Source organism: Homo sapiens, chromosome X, assembly GCF_000001405.40.
Source record: "Homo sapiens chromosome X, GRCh38.p14 Primary Assembly".
Classification (NCBI taxonomy): Eukaryota; Metazoa; Chordata; class Mammalia; order Primates; family Hominidae; genus Homo; species Homo sapiens.
The window spans coordinates 19,005,338-19,022,883 of record NC_000023.11 but is presented as its reverse complement, the minus strand read 5'-3'; the positions used below and the strand labels follow the sequence as shown (position 1 = coordinate 19,022,883).

Sequence of the window (17,546 nt, the reverse complement as noted above, 5' to 3'; positions counted from 1 at the left end):
CTCTACTAAAAATACAAAAATTAGCCAGGCATGGTGGCGGGCTCTTGTAATCCCAGCTACTCAGGAGGCTGAGGCACAAGAATCACTTGAGCCTGGGAGGCAGAGGTTGCAGTGAGCCGAGATTGCGCCACTGCCCTCCAGCATGGGTGACAGAGTGAGACTTTGTCTGAAAAAAAAATTTTTTTTAAAGAAAGAGAAAAGAACAAATTAAGAAGCACATGCACACAGGGGTGAATCACAGCTTGTCCAACAATTATTTGGGGTTGCACAGATTATCATTTTGAATTGTGTCCATTGGCTATCCTGGCTGTGTAAACCGATGGCTTACAGGGCAATACACTCAGTATCTGAACCCCGAGCCTTCTGTGACAGTCAAAGTCCTAGAAAATGAGAGTTTCTACTCATTAAACTATTCATTGGTACAAATAAGGGCAATGAAATTGTATTCCCTGTCCACTGTACGTATTTAGTTCATTTCACTGACCTCTTTTCGTTATTGCAACACTAATTTTCTTTCACCTAAACCAAGGCTAAAGTAGAAAGGACAGAGAGAATGTCTTCAATTCTTAGCTATCTAATAATCTAGATAGAATTCCCAGAAAGATTTTTTTTTTTTTTTGAGATGGAGTCTCACTCTGTTGCCCTGGCTGGAGTGCAATGGCACGATCTCGGCTCACTGCAACTTCCACCTCCCAGGTTCAAGTGATTCTCCCTGCCCCAGCCTCCTGAGTAGCTGGGATTACAGGCACCCACCACCACACCCAGCTACTTTTTGTATTTTTAGTAGAGACAGGTTTTCAGCATGTTGGCCAGGCTGGTCTCAAAATCCTGGACTCAAGTGATCCACCTGCCTCGGCCTTCCAAAGTGCTGGGATTACAGGTGTGAGCCACCGCACCCGGCCCCAGAAAGATTTTGGATTTGAAAGGTCTTGATGTGGCTGGGTGCAGTGGCTCACACTTGTAATCCCAGCACTTTGGGAGGCCGAGGTGGGCAGATCACCTGAGGTCAGGTGTTTGAGACTAGACTGGCCAACATGGCAAAACCCCATCTCTAATGAAAATACAAAAATTAGTGGGGTGTGGTGATACACGGCTGTAATCCCAGCTACTCAGGAGGCTGAGGGAGGAGAATCGCTTGAACCTGGGAGGCGGGGAGGTTGCAGTGAGCTGAGATCATGCCACTGCACTCCAACCTGGGCAAGAGAGCGAGACTCCATCTAAAACAAAAAAAGAAAAAAAGATCTTGATGTTCATCTAGACTGGTATGTGAAAGGGCACCCATGATGGAAACTCAAATGTTTATGGACACCAGGCAAGTGGCCAGCTAGTGTTTTGGGGGTGAGATTAAAGGTGTCAAGGTGCTTGCTTGTCTCTGCAACCAAGTTTCACCCCTGCCTGTTCATCGTGTAGACAGGCAAAATGAGCCAGCACCTATGTGTGGTCAGAGAGTCTCTGGTTTGCAACCTCTGTGAATGTGAACCTCCATAAATGTCTCTTAATATAAAGTCTTTTTGGGTAAAATTCAGACCGTGGTAAATGGGTATTTACAAGCTTATTGGGGTGACATCACAAGTTAACAGTATCAGTGTCCCCTTTCCTCACTCTAAGTTTGCAAAAGCAATTACAAATATGTAAGTAGGTTTCCCATTTAGTAACATTCTGGTTATGTATATTTCTCCTTACAGCACATTAAATTGTACATTCACAATAAAACTGAATAATACAATGAATGCATGTGCTGTAATAGCTGCTTTGGAAAGAGTAAAGATTCGACCAATGGGTAAGTTGTCTATTATTGCTGCATTAATCTTCATGTGGATTTTAATGTGTTATTTTTCTAATTGAAAATGTAATTAATAAATTTACATATGTTACAGCTTTCTGTTTTGACTCCTTTGTCCTTGGGCAATTTCTCTCTCTTTTTTTTTTGAGGCAGAGTCTCAGTCTGTCACCAGGTTCAGTGACACAATCATGGCTCACTGCAGCCTCCACTTCCCGGATTCAGGTGATTCTCCCACCTTAGCCTCCCGAGTAGCTGGGACTACAGGCATGCACCACCACACCCAGCTAATTTTAACATTTTTAATAGAGATGAAGTCTCCTTATGTTTCCCAGGTTGTTCTTGAACTCCTCGGCTCAAGTGATCCTCCTGCCTCGGCCTCCCAAAGTGCTGGGGATCATGAGCCACCACACCTGTCCATTGGGCAATTTTTAAAGAGCCCTAGAAGGTTATTTTTCCTGCTTGCTAATAAAGTTTTTTATTTTATTTTACTTTAAGTTCTGAGATACATGTGCAGAACGTGCAGGTTTGTTACATAGGTATACATGTGCCGTGGTGGTTTGCTGCACCTATCAACCCATCATCTAGGTTTTAAGCCCTACATGCATTAGGTGTTTGTCCTAATGCTCTCCCTCCCCGCTAATAAAGTTTTAATATGTCTTATTTGATAATATGATAAACCCTGTTGAGAAGGAGAATTCTTTTTGGAATGTTCAATGGATTGCTACTGGGATATGTCCACTTTTTAAATTGACAAGCAAAAAGTGTGCATATTTGTGGTGTACAATGTGATGTTTTGATATACATCACAGAATGGCTATATCAACTATTTAACATTTGCATTACCTCACATACCTATCATTTTTTGTGGTAAGAACATTTAAGGTCTACTCTCTAAGCACTTTTCAAGCATACAATACATTCTAATTAATTGTAGTCATCATGTTGTACAATAGATCTCTTTTATTCCTCCTGCGTAACTGAAATTTTGTGTCCTTTGTCCAACATCTCCCCAATCCCTCTGCCTCTGACCCCCAGTAAACAGCATTTCACTCTCTGTTTCTATGAGTTTGACTTTTTAGATTCCACATCTGAGTGAGATCATGCGGTATTTGTCTTTCTGTGCCTGGCTTATTTCACTTAACATCATGTCCTCCAAGATGTGTTTCCTTGTGAATTCCTCTTAGGAGTTGCTGAAGAGTGATTAGTGCTGCATGCATATAACCCCCAAAAAATCAATAAATATTTTTGAGCACTACTATGTATACAGTATATAATTGTCAATACAATGGCGTCCAATCTATTTTATCACCTGTTTTAGACAATTGCTCTTTTAAATGCAGTGTAGGAACCGTGATACTTAATGGTTCTGAGCTGCCACCTTGCTTTGTTCTTGACCGTGCATTTTTCTTACTCCTTTTCCTTTTGTCTCTCCTAGAACACTGCTGCTGTTCTGTCAGGATACCCTGCCCTTCCTCCCCAGAAGAGTTGGAAAAGCTTCAGTGGTATGTAACAAACATGCTGACCCTTCTCCTTAAAAAAAAAAAAAAAAAAATCACCATGCTAGCTAAGGAGTTTTAGAATTTTGGGAGTAAAGAAGGCTTTCAATTTTAGGGAAAATGCAGTTTTCTGCAGTATGAAGTTTCCACTTGGACCACTGCCTTAAACCAGTGGTTTGAAATCTTAGCTGCACATTAGAATCACCTGGGGAGCATTAAAAACACTGACTCCCAAGACTCACCAACTAAATGTTTTGTCATTTTAAAAACATGTTTGACGGTCTGATAGGTGAGAAATGGTAGCTCAGTGTTACTTTAATCAACATTTCCTTACTAAGGCAGAGTCTGAACATTTTTTCATATATTTGGGGGCTGTTTTGTATCTTTTTGTGAATTACATGTACATGTCTTTTCTGTATTTTTTCTAATTGATATCTGATCCATTATTTAAGAGTACTTTAGCCGGGCACGGTGGCTTACGCCTGTAATCCCAGCACTTTGGGAGGCCAAGGTGGGCGGATCACGAGGTCAGGAGATCGAGACCATCCCGGCTAACACGGTGAAACCCCAGCTCTACTAAAAATACAAAAAAAAATTAGCCGGGCATGGTGGCGGGCGCCTGTAGTCCCAGCTACTCAGGAGGCTGAGGCAGGAGAATGGCATGAACCTGGGAGGCGGAGCTTGCAGTGAGCCGAGGTTGCGCCACTGCTCTCCAGCCTGGGTGAAAGTGCAAGACTCCGTCTCAAAAAAAAAAGTACTTCATATATTGTGCATATTAGCTCTTTATATGCATATCTATGGTATATGTTGCAAATATTTTCTCCCAGTATTTTAGTTGTCTTTTGACTTTATCATGTTTTTTGTCATGGAAATTTTGAAACAATTTTATGTAGTTAAATACGAAAAAGTTCATCTTTTCCCCAGTGATCTGAGATGTCACCTTTGTCTTATACTAAATTTTGATAGACATTTGGGTCTAATTCTGGATGTTAGATGTTAACACTGGGTGACCAAGCTGCGTGGGAGGTATACAGAGCTGTTTGTATTGTTTTTATAGTATTTCTGTAAACCTAAAATTAGTTCCAATAAAAAGTTAAAAAAAAATACTGATTCCCAGTCACCAGGCTCAGAGATTCTGATTTAATTGGCCTGGGATATAGCCTAGGCATTAAGGCCCTTCTGGACCAGGCAAGGTAGCTCACGCCTGTAATCTCAGCACTTTGGAAGGCCCAGGTAGGAGAACTGCTTGAGCTCAAGAGTTCAAGATCAGCCTGGGTGAGATCTCATTTCTACTAAAAAATTAAAAAAAAACAAACAAACAAACAAACAAAAAACTGGGCATCGTGGCACGTGCCTGTAGTCTGAGGTGGGAGAATCACTTGAGCCCAGGAACTCAAGGCTGCAGTGAGCTATGTTCATGCCACTGCACTCCAGCCTGGGCAACAGAGCAACACGCTGTCTCAAAAAAAATAAAAATAAAAATAAAAATAAAAGCCCTGCTGGCGATTCTAATGTGCAACCAAAGTTGAGAATTGATGCCTTAAAATCATTGCTCCAATGGAGGGAAACTGGGAGATGGGTGCTCCAAAACAGCAAAAGACTCTGAAAGTCACACATGATGTGACCACAGGTGTATACATAGAAAAAAACAGGGAGGACAGGAATGAAAATGTTCACTGTGGTTCCCCATGAGTGACCTGCCTGCTGGCATTATGAGTTTTGTTTGTTTTTTTTTTTTACTTTTTCTTTTCTTTCTTACTTTGCAGCATTTTCTATATTCTTCTACAATCAGATAAAAATTGTATTTGGAAAAAAAGGACTTAAAAAAATCTGTGTAGCTTCTCAGATGGGAAGAGAAGGCTAAGTGTAGCCTGTCTGCCCTTTGTGGGCCAGATTTCTGGGATATACTAATATTAAAACGTTGGACCTTGAGGAACAGGTAAAAGTCTTTGGTTAAGGATTTGTAGCAGGATTTTCTGCAATAGAAAGTAAAGAGTAACATGCCCCATTCAGCTTCACATGCCCCATTAAGCTGGAGCATTGAGCCCCATTTTGGGGATAGAGTTTCTGGAAGCATTGGGATCGGATCAGAAGAGCATCCCTCTTTTGACGCAGCCCCACTGACCCCTAGTGGCTGCCCCTAGTGGTTAAGAAGAAGAAACAGGAATAGAAAAGGGGTCAGGATGTGAAACTGATGTCCAGTTAGGGCTCAGTCATTAACTAGCTGTGTATCCGTGTTCCAGAGCAGATGCTTTTTTACCTTCAGCATCTCAGATCAAATGAAGAAGTGAGTTAGAGCTCTGTAAAATTAGGAAATGGACTGGATCAACACTTCTCAAATATCACCGTGCACATCCATCACTCAGGATCTTGTTAAAATGCAGATTCTGATCCAGTAAGGCCTGGGCCTGAAAGTCTGCATTTCTGACAAGCTCCTCAGGTGAAGCCAGTGTTGCTGGTTCATGGACCCCACTTTGAGCACCGAGGGTCTGTATAGAGACTGTAGAGCAGTGCTAGTGGTTCTCAATCCTGGCTGCATGTTGAAATCCTCTGGAGCGTTTTAAAAACATTGATGCAGCTGGGCATGGTGGCTCACGCCTGTAATCTCAGCACTTTGGGAGGCCGAGGTGGGAGGATTGCTTGAGGCCAGGAGTTCGCGACCAGCCAGGGCAACATAGTGAGACCCTGTCTCTACAAACAGTTTTTAAAAATTAGCCGGGCAGGGTGATGTACACCTGTAGTCCCAGCTGCTTGGGAGACTGAGGTAGGAGGGGTCACTTGAGCCTGGGGAGTGGAGGCTGCAGTGAGTCATGATCATGTCACTGCATTCCAGCCTGGGTGATAAAGCAAGACCCTGTCTCTGAATGAATGAATGAATGAATTTAAAAATACATCGATGGGTGGGGGGAGGGGGGAGGGATAGCACTGGGAGATATACCTAATGCTAGATGACGAGTTAGTGGGTGCAGCGCACCAGCATGGCACATGTATACATATGTAACTAACCTGCACATTGTGCACATGTACCCTAAAACTTAAAGTATAATAATAATAAATAAATAAATAATAAAAAATAAAAAATAAAAACAAAAATACATCGATGCCTGCCTCCCACCCTCAGAGACTGGTGTAGGATGTGGCCTGGGCTTCCCAGTTTTTAAAAACTCCTGGGTGGGGTGGTTCTAATGTGCAGCCAAGTTCGAGAACCACTGGGCTAGAATTAGATGCCCACCCAGGGTCTTTCTAATATGTTGGTTCTTAGGTTTAACTGTACATTAGAAATACCTGGGGTATTTTTAAAACATACTGATGTGTCAAGGTGGCCTTCTAGGGTGCTGGAAATGCTCTGCTTTGATCTAGGTGGTGATTATATATAAAATTCGTCAAGCTCTAAATCTAAGATTAGTACACTTTATGCAGGCTACACCGCAGTAAAGAAGCACATTAAAATGCCATGCATTAAAATGGGCACTGCGCCCACCGCCAGAGGTTCCAGGTCAGCTGGTTTGGAGTGGGAGCCCAGGCATCGGTGCCGAGGTACTCTGAGGGGTTCAGATGTACTGCTGGCATTGCCCACCACTGCTCTGCCGCTTCCCTGTGTGCCTCACAGTGGATGGAGGGCTCTGACTAGCATAAATGACAGGAGTAGAAGGCAACCTCTTCACAGTTGAGCCCAGTGAACGGGGCCTTCTGAAGGCCCCCAGATAAGCTGAAGAAAATTTAATGTATACTTTGCAAAGCACCTTTACCCCAACTTGGCCAGGTGGGTTGCTACAGTGTACAGTTTAGGGAATGGAGCCTGAGAGATGTTGGGTAAATTGTCCACAGGAGTAGTGAAAGCTGGAGCCCTAGTGAAGGTTGTTTGTTCGTTTGTTTGTTTGTTTCTGAGACAGAGTTTCGCTCTTTCACCCAGACTGGAGTGCAGTGGTACAATCTTGGCTCACTGCAACCTCCGCTACCCGGGTTCAAGTGATTCCCCTGCCTCAGCCTCCCGAGTAGCTGGGATTATAGGCACCCGCCACCACGCCTGGCTAATTTTTGTATTTTTAGTAGAGACAGGGTTTCGCCATGTTGGCCAGGCTGGTCGCAAACTCCTGACCACAGGTGATCCACTGCTTCGGTCTCCCAAAGTGTTGGGATTACAGGCGTGAGCCATCGTGCCCAGCCAAGTCTAGGCTTTTTGACTCATGATGTTTCTGACTGTCTGACACCCTTTATCCTCACTGCCCCGAACCTCAGGGGATGCAGGGAGGCCTGTGGCCAAGTGACCAGCCAGACTGGACCAAGCAGGCTTTTCTTTTTATAGATGTGACTTGCTTTAGGCCCCTTGACCTAATATTCCTCCCTCTTCTCACCCTAGAGAAGCTCTAAGAACACATTCTTGTTGGTGTTCTAAGTCTCCATCTGACACTAGATCGATCAGAGGCTTCCTTGAGTAAATATTCCCTGGGTAATAATTTGTTGCTCCTCCTCTAGTTGTTCCTCCCTAGATCTCTCAAGACTGATGGATCTTGTGCCAGAGAGTAGGTGAGGACTTCTCCACCTTTGATGCCCATGAAAATCACCAGAGAGTTTAGAAAATACATATGCCCCATCCCAAGACCAGCTGAATCAAACACAGAGGAGTGGGCCATAGAAATCTATATACACATATGTTTTAAAAAGTGTTCTGGGCCAGGCACAGTGGCTCACGCCTGTAGTCCCAGCACTTTGGGAGGCTGAGGCGGGCAGATCATCGGAGGTCAGGAGTTCGAGACCAGCCTGGCCAACATAGCAAAACCCCATCTCTACTAAAAATACAAAAAGTAGCCGGGCATGGTGGCAGGTGCCTGTAGTCCCAGCTACTCAGGAGGCTGAGGCAAGAGAATCACTTGAACCCAGGAGGCGGAGGTTGCAGTGACCCAAAATCACGCCACTGCACCCCAGCCTGGGTGACGAGTGAGACTCTGTCTCAAAAAAAAATGTTCTGGGTAGTTCTCATGCACAGCCAAGGTTGAGAACCACTGAGCTAAAGGAACCTTGAAGACACAGCTGCTGTAGACCACCTCTTTTGCCCCAGCTTGATTCATTGTTTTCATTCAACCAACATTTCTTGGTCAGTTACCATGGGTCAGCTACCACTATGCCAGGCTATAGCAGTGTAAAGTTGATTAAGACAGATTCCTAGTATATGAAAACCAGTTGGGTCACGAGACATTTCGCAGTTCCCCTCACCCGGGAGCACAGAGAAGATTCCCTCAATTGAGTGACCATGAGACACAGAGCCACAGAGCAGCAGTGAACTGGGGAGTCACAGAAGAGCATCTCTCCTTGCCCATTCCTCTCCCAGGAAGTAGGTGGTAGAAGTGGGCAGGGGCTGGGGGATAGTGGCAGGTGCACAGAGGGTGTGAAATGGCAGAGGCTGGAAGTGTCATGTCCCTGATGTAACTACGTCAACTTGACGGTGTCAGATGATTGCCAGAGGGGAAAGACTTGCCCCCTCTGTAGCTCATTCGTGTCTCACATGTATCTCTCTGATTTGTTCCTTTAGTGACCTGCAGGATCCCATTGTCTGTCTTGCTGACCATCCACGTGGCCCACCATTTTCTTCCAGCCAATCCATCCCAGTGGTGCCTCGGGCCACTGTGCTTTCCCAGGTCCCCAAAGCTACCTCTTTTGCTGAGCCTCCAGATTATTCACCTGTGACCCACAATGTTCCCTCTCCAATAGGGGAGATTCAACCCCTTTCACCCCAGCCTTCAGCTCCCATAGCTTCCAGCCCTGCCATTGACATGCCCCCACAGTCTGAAACGATCTCTTCCCCTATGCCCCAAACCCATGTCTCCGGCACCCCACCTCCTGTGAAAGCCTCATTTTCCTCTCCCACCGTGTCTGCCCCTGCGAATGTCAACACTACCAGCGCACCTCCTGTCCAGACAGGTAAATGTCACTTGAACAGCGGCCAATCTGCCAATCAAGACATCTATGATAAGACCATGTTGAGCCTTTCTTTGTATGATGTTCGCTTGATTTCTAGAGCTTTCCTTTCGGGATTCTAACGTTCTAATGACTTACATGGTTGCATAAGAGTCATTGTGTTGAGGTGGCATATCTAATTTAATCAATATCTAATTTAATCATTCCTCTCTTCTGAAACCATTAAGTTTATTCTACTTTTTAGCTCCCAGGTATCGGTATCTTTCATGCAGTTGTCACTTTGCTTCTTGGCTGTGGCTGAGTTCCATTGTTTTGACCAAGATAATGGAGAAATAGCTCTAAAGGGCAAGCACAGATCTCATTTGATGGAGTTGGAGATTTTCTAGGTTTCTTTCTCCTACAAAAGTTGGTTGGAACACTGTTTTCAACACCCTGAAGAGTAAACTTTTGATCTATTAAACATAGCAGCTCAGCTTAGACAGAAGACAAAAGAAAAAATTGGCAGGTCTGAAAATCAGTCAGTCACAGAGTGACAGAGCTGGGACTGAGCCAAGGTAGTGGTAGGAGGGGAGAAACACTGTGAAGACCCAGGCTTGGGTCCGCACGGGCCCTCGCAGACAGTGTAATCTGGAACAAGCTCCTTCTGCCTCCGCCTGTTCTATGCGAGGATCAAAATCATCACACTAACTGCATGAGGCTGAGAATGAAGGTGTACGTGAGAATGCTGTGGAAACCGCCAAGGCCTCCAGGGTCCAAAGTGGGCTTAGTGGTACAGAGATAAAGGCAAGAGGGAAAGAAGCTGAGAGAAATCTGGATACACTGAAGTTTCAGTTCCATGAGTAAGAGGCAGGTCTTCCTCTAGAATTTGGAGGATGGGGGAGGCAAAGCCAAGTTTTTGGTGACATTAGATTGATTTTGGTACCCACCTCCTCCACCCTGGTGCCAGCATCACCAGGAGATGAGGAGCTTCTGCCAAATGACTTCATATTTCTTCAAATTTGCACTGCTCTCTCTTCAGTAAAGTTTTTTAAATTGTTTCTTTTTTTTTTTTTTTTTTTGGTAGCTTTGGGGTCTTGCTATGTTGCCTAGGCTGGTTTTAAACTCCTGGGCTCAAGTGATCCTCCCACCTCAACCTCCCAAAGCGTTGGGATTATAGGTGTGAACCATTGTGCCCAGCCAATAATTTTTTATAAATGTAAATATTTTCAGCCAAATTAGAAAAGCATTGGGGCTGTAGTCAAAGGAAGGTCCAATGGCTGATGAAGAATACAGTAAAATTGAAGTTCATTAGCCTGGGCCTAAGATGCCCACCTTCCCAAAGCTAATTCCCAGTGATCCCTAGACTCAGCCTAACAGGCTACACAAAACACTATCAAGGTGGCCTCTGGTGCCTATGTATTCCTGGGGCAACAAGAAGCAAAGTGACATATTCATAAAAGATACAGATTGAGGTGTTACCCAGGAGCTAAAAATTAGAATAAACGTAATGGTTCCAGAAGACAGGAATGATTAAATAAGATATGCTACTGTAACACAATGACTATTATGCGACCATGTAAGTCATTAGAACAGAAACAGAAATATACAGAAACTTGGGGGCATTTTCAAGTCTTGATGTGAGGTGAAAATAGCCCAACAACAAATAGTTTGCACACCATGTTTATAACAGTGTAAATACACATGCATAAAGATTTGACGGGAATAGGCAAAATAATAGGATGTTAAGTGGTGAAATTAAGAGTTGTCTGTTGTTAAAGACAGGTTTGTATCATTGTTTCCCTATTAAAAATCAGACTTACAGGTGATAGTCCAGCTTTCATAATATTCTTTTTTGTTTTGAGAGAGAGAGAGAGTCTCACTCTGTCACCCAGGCTGGAGTGCAGTGGCGCAATTTCGGCTCACCGCAACCTCTGCCTCCTGGGTTCAAGCGATTCTTGTGCCTCAGCCTCCCGAGTAACTGGGACTACAGGCACATGCCACCACACGTGGCTAATTTTTTAAATATTTTTAGTAGAGACAGGGTTCCCCCATGTTGGCCAGGCTGGTCTAGAACTCCTGACCTCAGGTGATCCACCTGCCTCAGAGCCTCCCAAAGTGCTGGGATTACAGGCGCGAGCCACCGTGCCCAGCCCATAATATTCTCTTTTTCACAAAAGAGCTTCCAGCAATCCACATAAAATCCTGTACACATGATACAAATTAAATACAAGTATACTTGTGCTTATATGAGTATATACTAAATACACTGATGTGCTTTATATTTTTTAGATTTATTGAAGTAAAATTTGCATACAGTAAAATGTATCCAATTTTATGGATAAATCAAATTTTTGCAGTTCTGTGCAGCTAGAAACACCCACAGTCACGTAACCACCATCATAATCAAGATACATAAGTTTCCCACTACTCCCAAAGTTCCCTTGTGTCCCTTCGAAGTCAAAACCTAATCCCCTCACCCCCAGCCCCTGGCCACCACTGATCTGTTTCCATACAGGTTTTTGGATATTTCTAGAATATCATATGAAGAGACTCACTTAGTATGTGGCCTTCTGAGTTTGGCTTCTTTCACTTAGCATAATGTATTGGAAAACTGGAGATCCACCCATGCCATTGTGTGTATTTAGAGTTAATTCCTTTTTATTGCTGAATAATATTTCACTGTATGGAGGTACCATAGTTTGTTGATCCATTCTCCAGTTCATGGACATTCGGGTTGTTTCTAGTTTGGGACTATTATGAAAAAGGCCACTATAAACATTCATGAACAAGTCTTCCTAAGACATATGTTTGTATTTATCTGGGGCAAATACCCAGGAGTGAGTTTGCCATATCACAGGGTCTATGTACGTTTATCTTTATTAGTGGGTTTTCCATTGTGTGTTCATAACACGATTTGGCTCTTTGATATAGACATCGTCAACACCAGCAGTATTTCTGATCTTGAGAACCAAGTGTTGCAGATGGAGAAGGCTCTGTCCTTGGGCAGCCTGGAGCCTAACCTCGCAGGAGAAATGATCAACCAAGTCAGCAGACTCCTTCATTCCCCGCCTGACATGCTGGCCCCTCTGGCTCAAAGGTACGACTTCGCAAACTGAAGTGGTGGTAAGAGGGGACCCTCCAAAGATAAAGATGCTGCTCACATGATTAATATCACCAAGTCTTTTACTCCCAAGTACCAGGTACATCATGGTTTCTCAGGTTGCTACTCTATATTCTGCTTAGAATGAGGAGACAGATGGGACTGCCAAATCTACACTACCAACCTTGAGGCCAGACATTGTGGCTCATGCCTATAATCCCACCACTCTGGGAGGCTGAGGTGGGCGGATCGCTTGAGGTCAGGGGTTTGAGACTAGCCTGGCTAACATGGTGAAACCCCGTCTCTACTAAAAATACAAAGATTAGCCAGGCATGGTGATGCGTGCCTGTAGTCCCAGCTACTCAGGAGGCTGAGGCAGGAGAATCACTTGAACCCAGGAGGTGGAGGTTGCAGTGAGCCAAGATGGCACCACTGTACTCCAGCCTGGGAGGCAGAGTGAGACTCTGTCTCAAAAAAAAAAAAAAACAAAAACAAAAACAAGGCTGGGCGCGATGGCTCACGCCTGTAATCCCAACATTTTGGGAGGCCGAGGCGTGTGGATCACGAGGTCAGGAGATCGAGACCATCCTGGCCAACATGGTGAAACCCCGTCTCTACTAAAATACAAAAAATTAGCTGGGTGTGGTGGTGTGCATCTGTAGTCCCAGCTACTTGAGAGGCTGAGGTAGTAGAATTGCTTGAACCCAGGAGGCAGAGGTTGCAGTGAGCCGAGATCACGCCACTGCACCCCAGCCTGGCAACAGAGCGAGACTCCGTCTCAAAATAAATAAATAAATAAATAATAAACTGCCAACCTTTCTTTACAGATTGCTGAAAGTAGTGGATGACATTGGCCTACAGCTGAACTTTTCAAACACGACTATAAGTCTAACCTCCCCTTCTTTGGCTCTGGCTGTGATCAGAGTGAATGCCAGTAGTTTCAACACAACTACCTTTGTGGCCCAAGACCCTGCAAATCTTCAGGTACATCATAATTGATGGCAGAAAAAAACATTCTCTTGTGTGTGATTGTAGTCCCCATTGTATTTCATGATTGAGGCAATTACTGCTTATAGTCAGGGGTGATATTCAAAATATTTGGCATCTAGAACAGTGAGGCACCATAGAATCAAGCCGGGTGCCATGGCTCACACCTGTAATCCCAGCACTTTGGGAGGCCAAGGCAAGTGGATCACTGGAGGTCAGGAGTTCAAGACCAGCCTGGACAACATGGTGAAACCCCATCTCTACTAAAAATACAAAAATTAGCCGGGCGTGGTGGCATCCACTTGTAATCCCAACTACTCAGGAGGCTGAGGCAGGAGAATTGCTTGAACTCGGGAGGCAGAGGTTGCAGTGAGCCAAGATTGCACCACTGCACTCCAGCCTGAGCGACAGAGTAATATTCCGTCTCAAAAAAAAAAAAAAAGACGTTGGTCTTGGCTGGTACAGGATGTCAGAGGTCCCCCTTACACCTTGCGTTAACCCTTTAGCAGCTGAATTTTGGAATGTGGCATGGGTGGTATCCAGCAGAGGGTTCTAGGCAATTGGGAGAGTAGGCAGGGGTGTCAGCTACTTAACATCACATTTCGATATTATAACAAGTGTTAGAACTGCACTGCTGTATATAGTGGTGCTGAGTATCATTCCTGTTTCTAGTGTTTTCTGTCCACCTATTTAGAGGGATTGGGGGCTACAAACACCCAAGGAAACCAAGTCTCGCTTTTTAATTTTCATAGTCTTCCCTTTACAAGTGTACTGCACATGGTTCTATGAGGACTTGACTCTAACTGGTCACTAACTTGGTGTGTCTGCTGCTACAGTCTCCCTGGGGTCTGCAGTCATCTTGCACTTTTCAACTATTTCTTTGCATCCTTAAAATGTTTCCTTTCCTTCTTGGAGGCCTCCTCTCCTTATTACACTTCCTTTTTTTTCTTTTTTTTTGAGATGGAGTCTCGCTCTGTCACCCAGGGTTGAGTGCATTGGTGCGATCTTGGCTCACTGCAGCCTCCGCCTCCCGGGTTCAAGATACTCCCCTGCCTCAGTCTCCCAGGTAGCTAGGATTACAGGCGCCTGCCACCACACCCGGCTAATTTTTGTATTTTTAGTAGAGACAGGGCTGCGCCATGTTGGCCAGGCTGGTCTTAAACTCCTGACCTCAGGTGATCCTCCCGACTCGGCCTCCCAAAGTGTTGGGATTACAGGTGTGAGCCGCCGTGCCCAGCCTATACTTCCTTTCTTTAATTTAGTAGCAACCAGAGGAATAGAAGTAGAAGCTATTTTGCATAGAGATGCCGCAGGTCAGGTCCTTACAGAACCCTGCGTTTTAATTATTAGGCTGGTGCAAAAGTAATTGTGGTTTTTATCTTTTTTTAAAAAAAAAATGGCACATACTGCAATTACTTTTGCACCAACTTAATAGATGTGTTTTCCATCTCATTATACTAGCTCCAGACATTTATTCTTATCTTCCACTTGATTTTCAGGTTTCTCTGGAAACCCAAGCTCCTGAGAACAGTATTGGCACAATTACTCTTCCTTCATCGCTGATGAATAATTTACCAGCTCATGACATGGAGCTAGCTTCCAGGGTTCAGTTCAATTTTTTTGAAACACCTGCTTTGTTTCAGGTAAAACTGCTGCTCACTGCTTTTGGCTTGGGCTTTATTTGGAGATGAGGGCATTTCATTTCTTTTAGTGCTCGAATATTCTTAAGGCTGCCGTAAGTCAAATGAATTGCCGAAATGCTGCAGTTCATTTTTAAATGCAGCCTAATGATACTGGTGATGATAAATAACAGTAACTGACAGTTACATAGTATTTATATTTACCAATTGCCAAGCACTATCCTAAGCAGTTACAAATGTTAACTCTAATCCTCTCAACAACCCTGAGAGGAAGGAACTATTATTATCCCATTTTACAGATGAAGCCATGGAGGCGCAGAGAGACGTTAAGTGACTTGCTTGGGGACACACGGCTTAAATGGCTTAATGCTATGTTCTCTTTAAAGATTCACAAAATCCTGTTGTGTCAATCTGTGCGCTTTAGCTCAGTATTTAGAGCATTGTATTGTAGAACAAGCTCTGTTTCTCTGATTGTGATCCCTTGGGAAAGTCACTTTCCTCCTTGTCCCTCGATTTCTGACCTATATTGTAAGATAAACAATGTGGACTGAATATTCCTTAGTGTTCCTTCTAGCTCTAAAACTCTGACAATATCTCATTTACCCTTGCCATCTTGATGTGCCAGGATCCTTCCCTGGAGAACCTCTCTCTGATCAGCTACGTCATATCATCGAGTGTTGCAAACCTGACCGTCAGGAACTTGACAAGAAACGTGACAGTCACATTAAAGCACATCAACCCGAGCCAGGTGGGGAGAGGCCAGTGCCGTCTGTTCATTGACCAGGAACACCTTGTACAAACTATGCTTGTAAGGCATGGCCGGCAAAAGGCAGATCAGGCAGAAAGAACCTTCAGCTCAGCTGGAGTAGTTTGCAGGACTAGAATCACATCTCTCCATTGGATTTTAACACACTTAATAATTGACCAGGGCAGGTGCAGTGGTTCATGCTGTCATCCCAGCACTTTGAGAGGCTGAGGCGGGCAGATTGTCTGAGCTCAGGAGTTTGAGACCAGCCTGGGCAACATGGCAAAACCCCATCTTTGCAAAAGATACAAAAATTAGCTGGGCGTGGTGGCAGGCTCCTGTAATTCCAGCTACTTGGAGGGCTGAGGCGGGAGGATCACGAGCCCGGGAGCTCAAGGCTGCAGTGAGCTATGTTGGGGCCACTGCATTCCAGCTTGGGTGACAAAGTGAGACCCTGTCTCAAAAAAAAAAAAAAAAAAAAAAATTGACCACCTAATTTCCAGGAAGAATTGGTGCAAAAGCAAGCTCTTAACAACTGTGAAATATCAGATATCAGTGTGTGTGGATCTGTGGCTGCAGGTCTGATTCTCAGCTCAGTTCACACTAAGCATCATCTACGACCTCACTACTCACAGTGTGGTCCACAGACCCACAGCATCAGCATCACCTGGGAGTTTGCTAGAAATGCAGAGTCTCAGGCCCTAACCCAGACCCACTGAGTCAGAATGTGCATTTTCACAAGGCCCCAAAGTGATTCCTATGCACGATTGATGAGCTTAAGAAGTGCTGGTCTATTTAGGGCTTACTTGCTTCTAGGGACCATATAAAATAAGAACTCTCTAAAAATTAAGCCTAAGATTCTGAAATTTAAAAAAAACCACAGTTTTTTTTCTTTTCAAATACCTTTCAGTTTTGCTTTTTTTTTTTTTAGTTCAGTAAATTAATTATGTGTGATTTATCTTTCTACCACAGGATGAGTTAACAGTGAGATGTGTATTTTGGGACTTGGGCAGAAATGGTAAGTTCCAGTCATAACCTTTTCAAACTCTTGAGTGGGTTAATTGGGGAGGGTGTGAAGTCACTGGTGCTGTGGCCTTGCTGATGGGACAGATGTTCTTCCCAATGCCAACAGGTGGCAGAGGAGGCTGGTCAGACAATGGCTGCTCTGTCAAAGACAGGAGATTGAATGAAACCATCTGTACCTGTAGCCATCTAACAAGCTTCGGCGTTCTGCTGGTAATATGCCTGTGCCACGTGGCCTTAAATTCTGAGTCTGAGGGGTAGCTGGGCATCACACTACAATGTCTAATCTGATGGATGGATAACCGTGACAGATCAGCAGATATGATATTGTGGCTGATTTATACACCAATGAGATTGCTCTTTGCTGGGCATGGTGGCTCACGCCTGTAATCCCAGCACTTTGGGAGGCCAAGGTGGGTGGATCACTTGAGGTCAGGAGTTCGAGACCAGCCTGGCCAACATGGCGAAACCCCGTCTCTACTAAAAATACAAAATTAGCTGGGTGTGGTGGTGCGTACCTGTAGTCCCAGCTACTCAGGAGGCTGAGGCAGGATAATCGCTTGATCCTGGGAGGCAGAGGTTGCAGTAAGCCGAAATCACACCATTGTACTCCAGTCTGGGCAACAGAGAGAGACGCCATCTCAAAAAAAAAAAAAAAAAGAGAGAGAGATTCCTCTTCTAATAAGCAAATGCACCTGAAGGAAAATACCTGAACATGAAAGACAAGTATTTTTTCACATTCTCTTTTTACATTTAAGTTTTTCTCTTTTAAATAATTAAGAGAACTAAGGAATTCAGATTAGGATGAGTAATAAAAATTGTTTAGTTTGCAATGCACTTTAAGATTTTTACAAAACACTTTGACATAAATGCTCTT

General features: G+C 44.2%; 1 protein-coding gene and 1 long non-coding RNA gene across 18 annotated transcripts in view; one reads left to right on the top strand and one right to left on the bottom strand.

Annotated features, from left to right (window-relative positions):
• Positions 1-17,546, bottom strand: part of LOC101928415 (uncharacterized) — a 69,547-nt gene that overhangs the window by 34,250 nt on the left and 17,751 nt on the right. The window lies entirely within an intron of this gene.
• Positions 1-17,546, top strand: part of ADGRG2 (adhesion G protein-coupled receptor G2) — a 133,650-nt gene that overhangs the window by 100,073 nt on the left and 16,031 nt on the right. For all 16 annotated transcript variants that reach the window (XM_006724455.3, XM_047441758.1, NM_001184835.2 and 13 more), the window contains 9 exons: positions 1,686-1,780; positions 3,219-3,285; positions 8,810-9,198; positions 12,106-12,271; positions 13,102-13,258; positions 14,761-14,904; positions 15,527-15,649; positions 16,619-16,664; positions 16,779-16,882. In XM_006724455.3, coding sequence (XP_006724518.1) covers positions 1,686-1,780; positions 3,219-3,285; positions 8,810-9,198; positions 12,106-12,271; positions 13,102-13,258; positions 14,761-14,904; positions 15,527-15,649; positions 16,619-16,664; positions 16,779-16,882 — 1,291 coding nt within the window. The remainder of the gene's footprint in view (positions 1-1,685; positions 1,781-3,218; positions 3,286-8,809; positions 9,199-12,105; positions 12,272-13,101; positions 13,259-14,760; positions 14,905-15,526; positions 15,650-16,618; positions 16,665-16,778; positions 16,883-17,546) is intronic.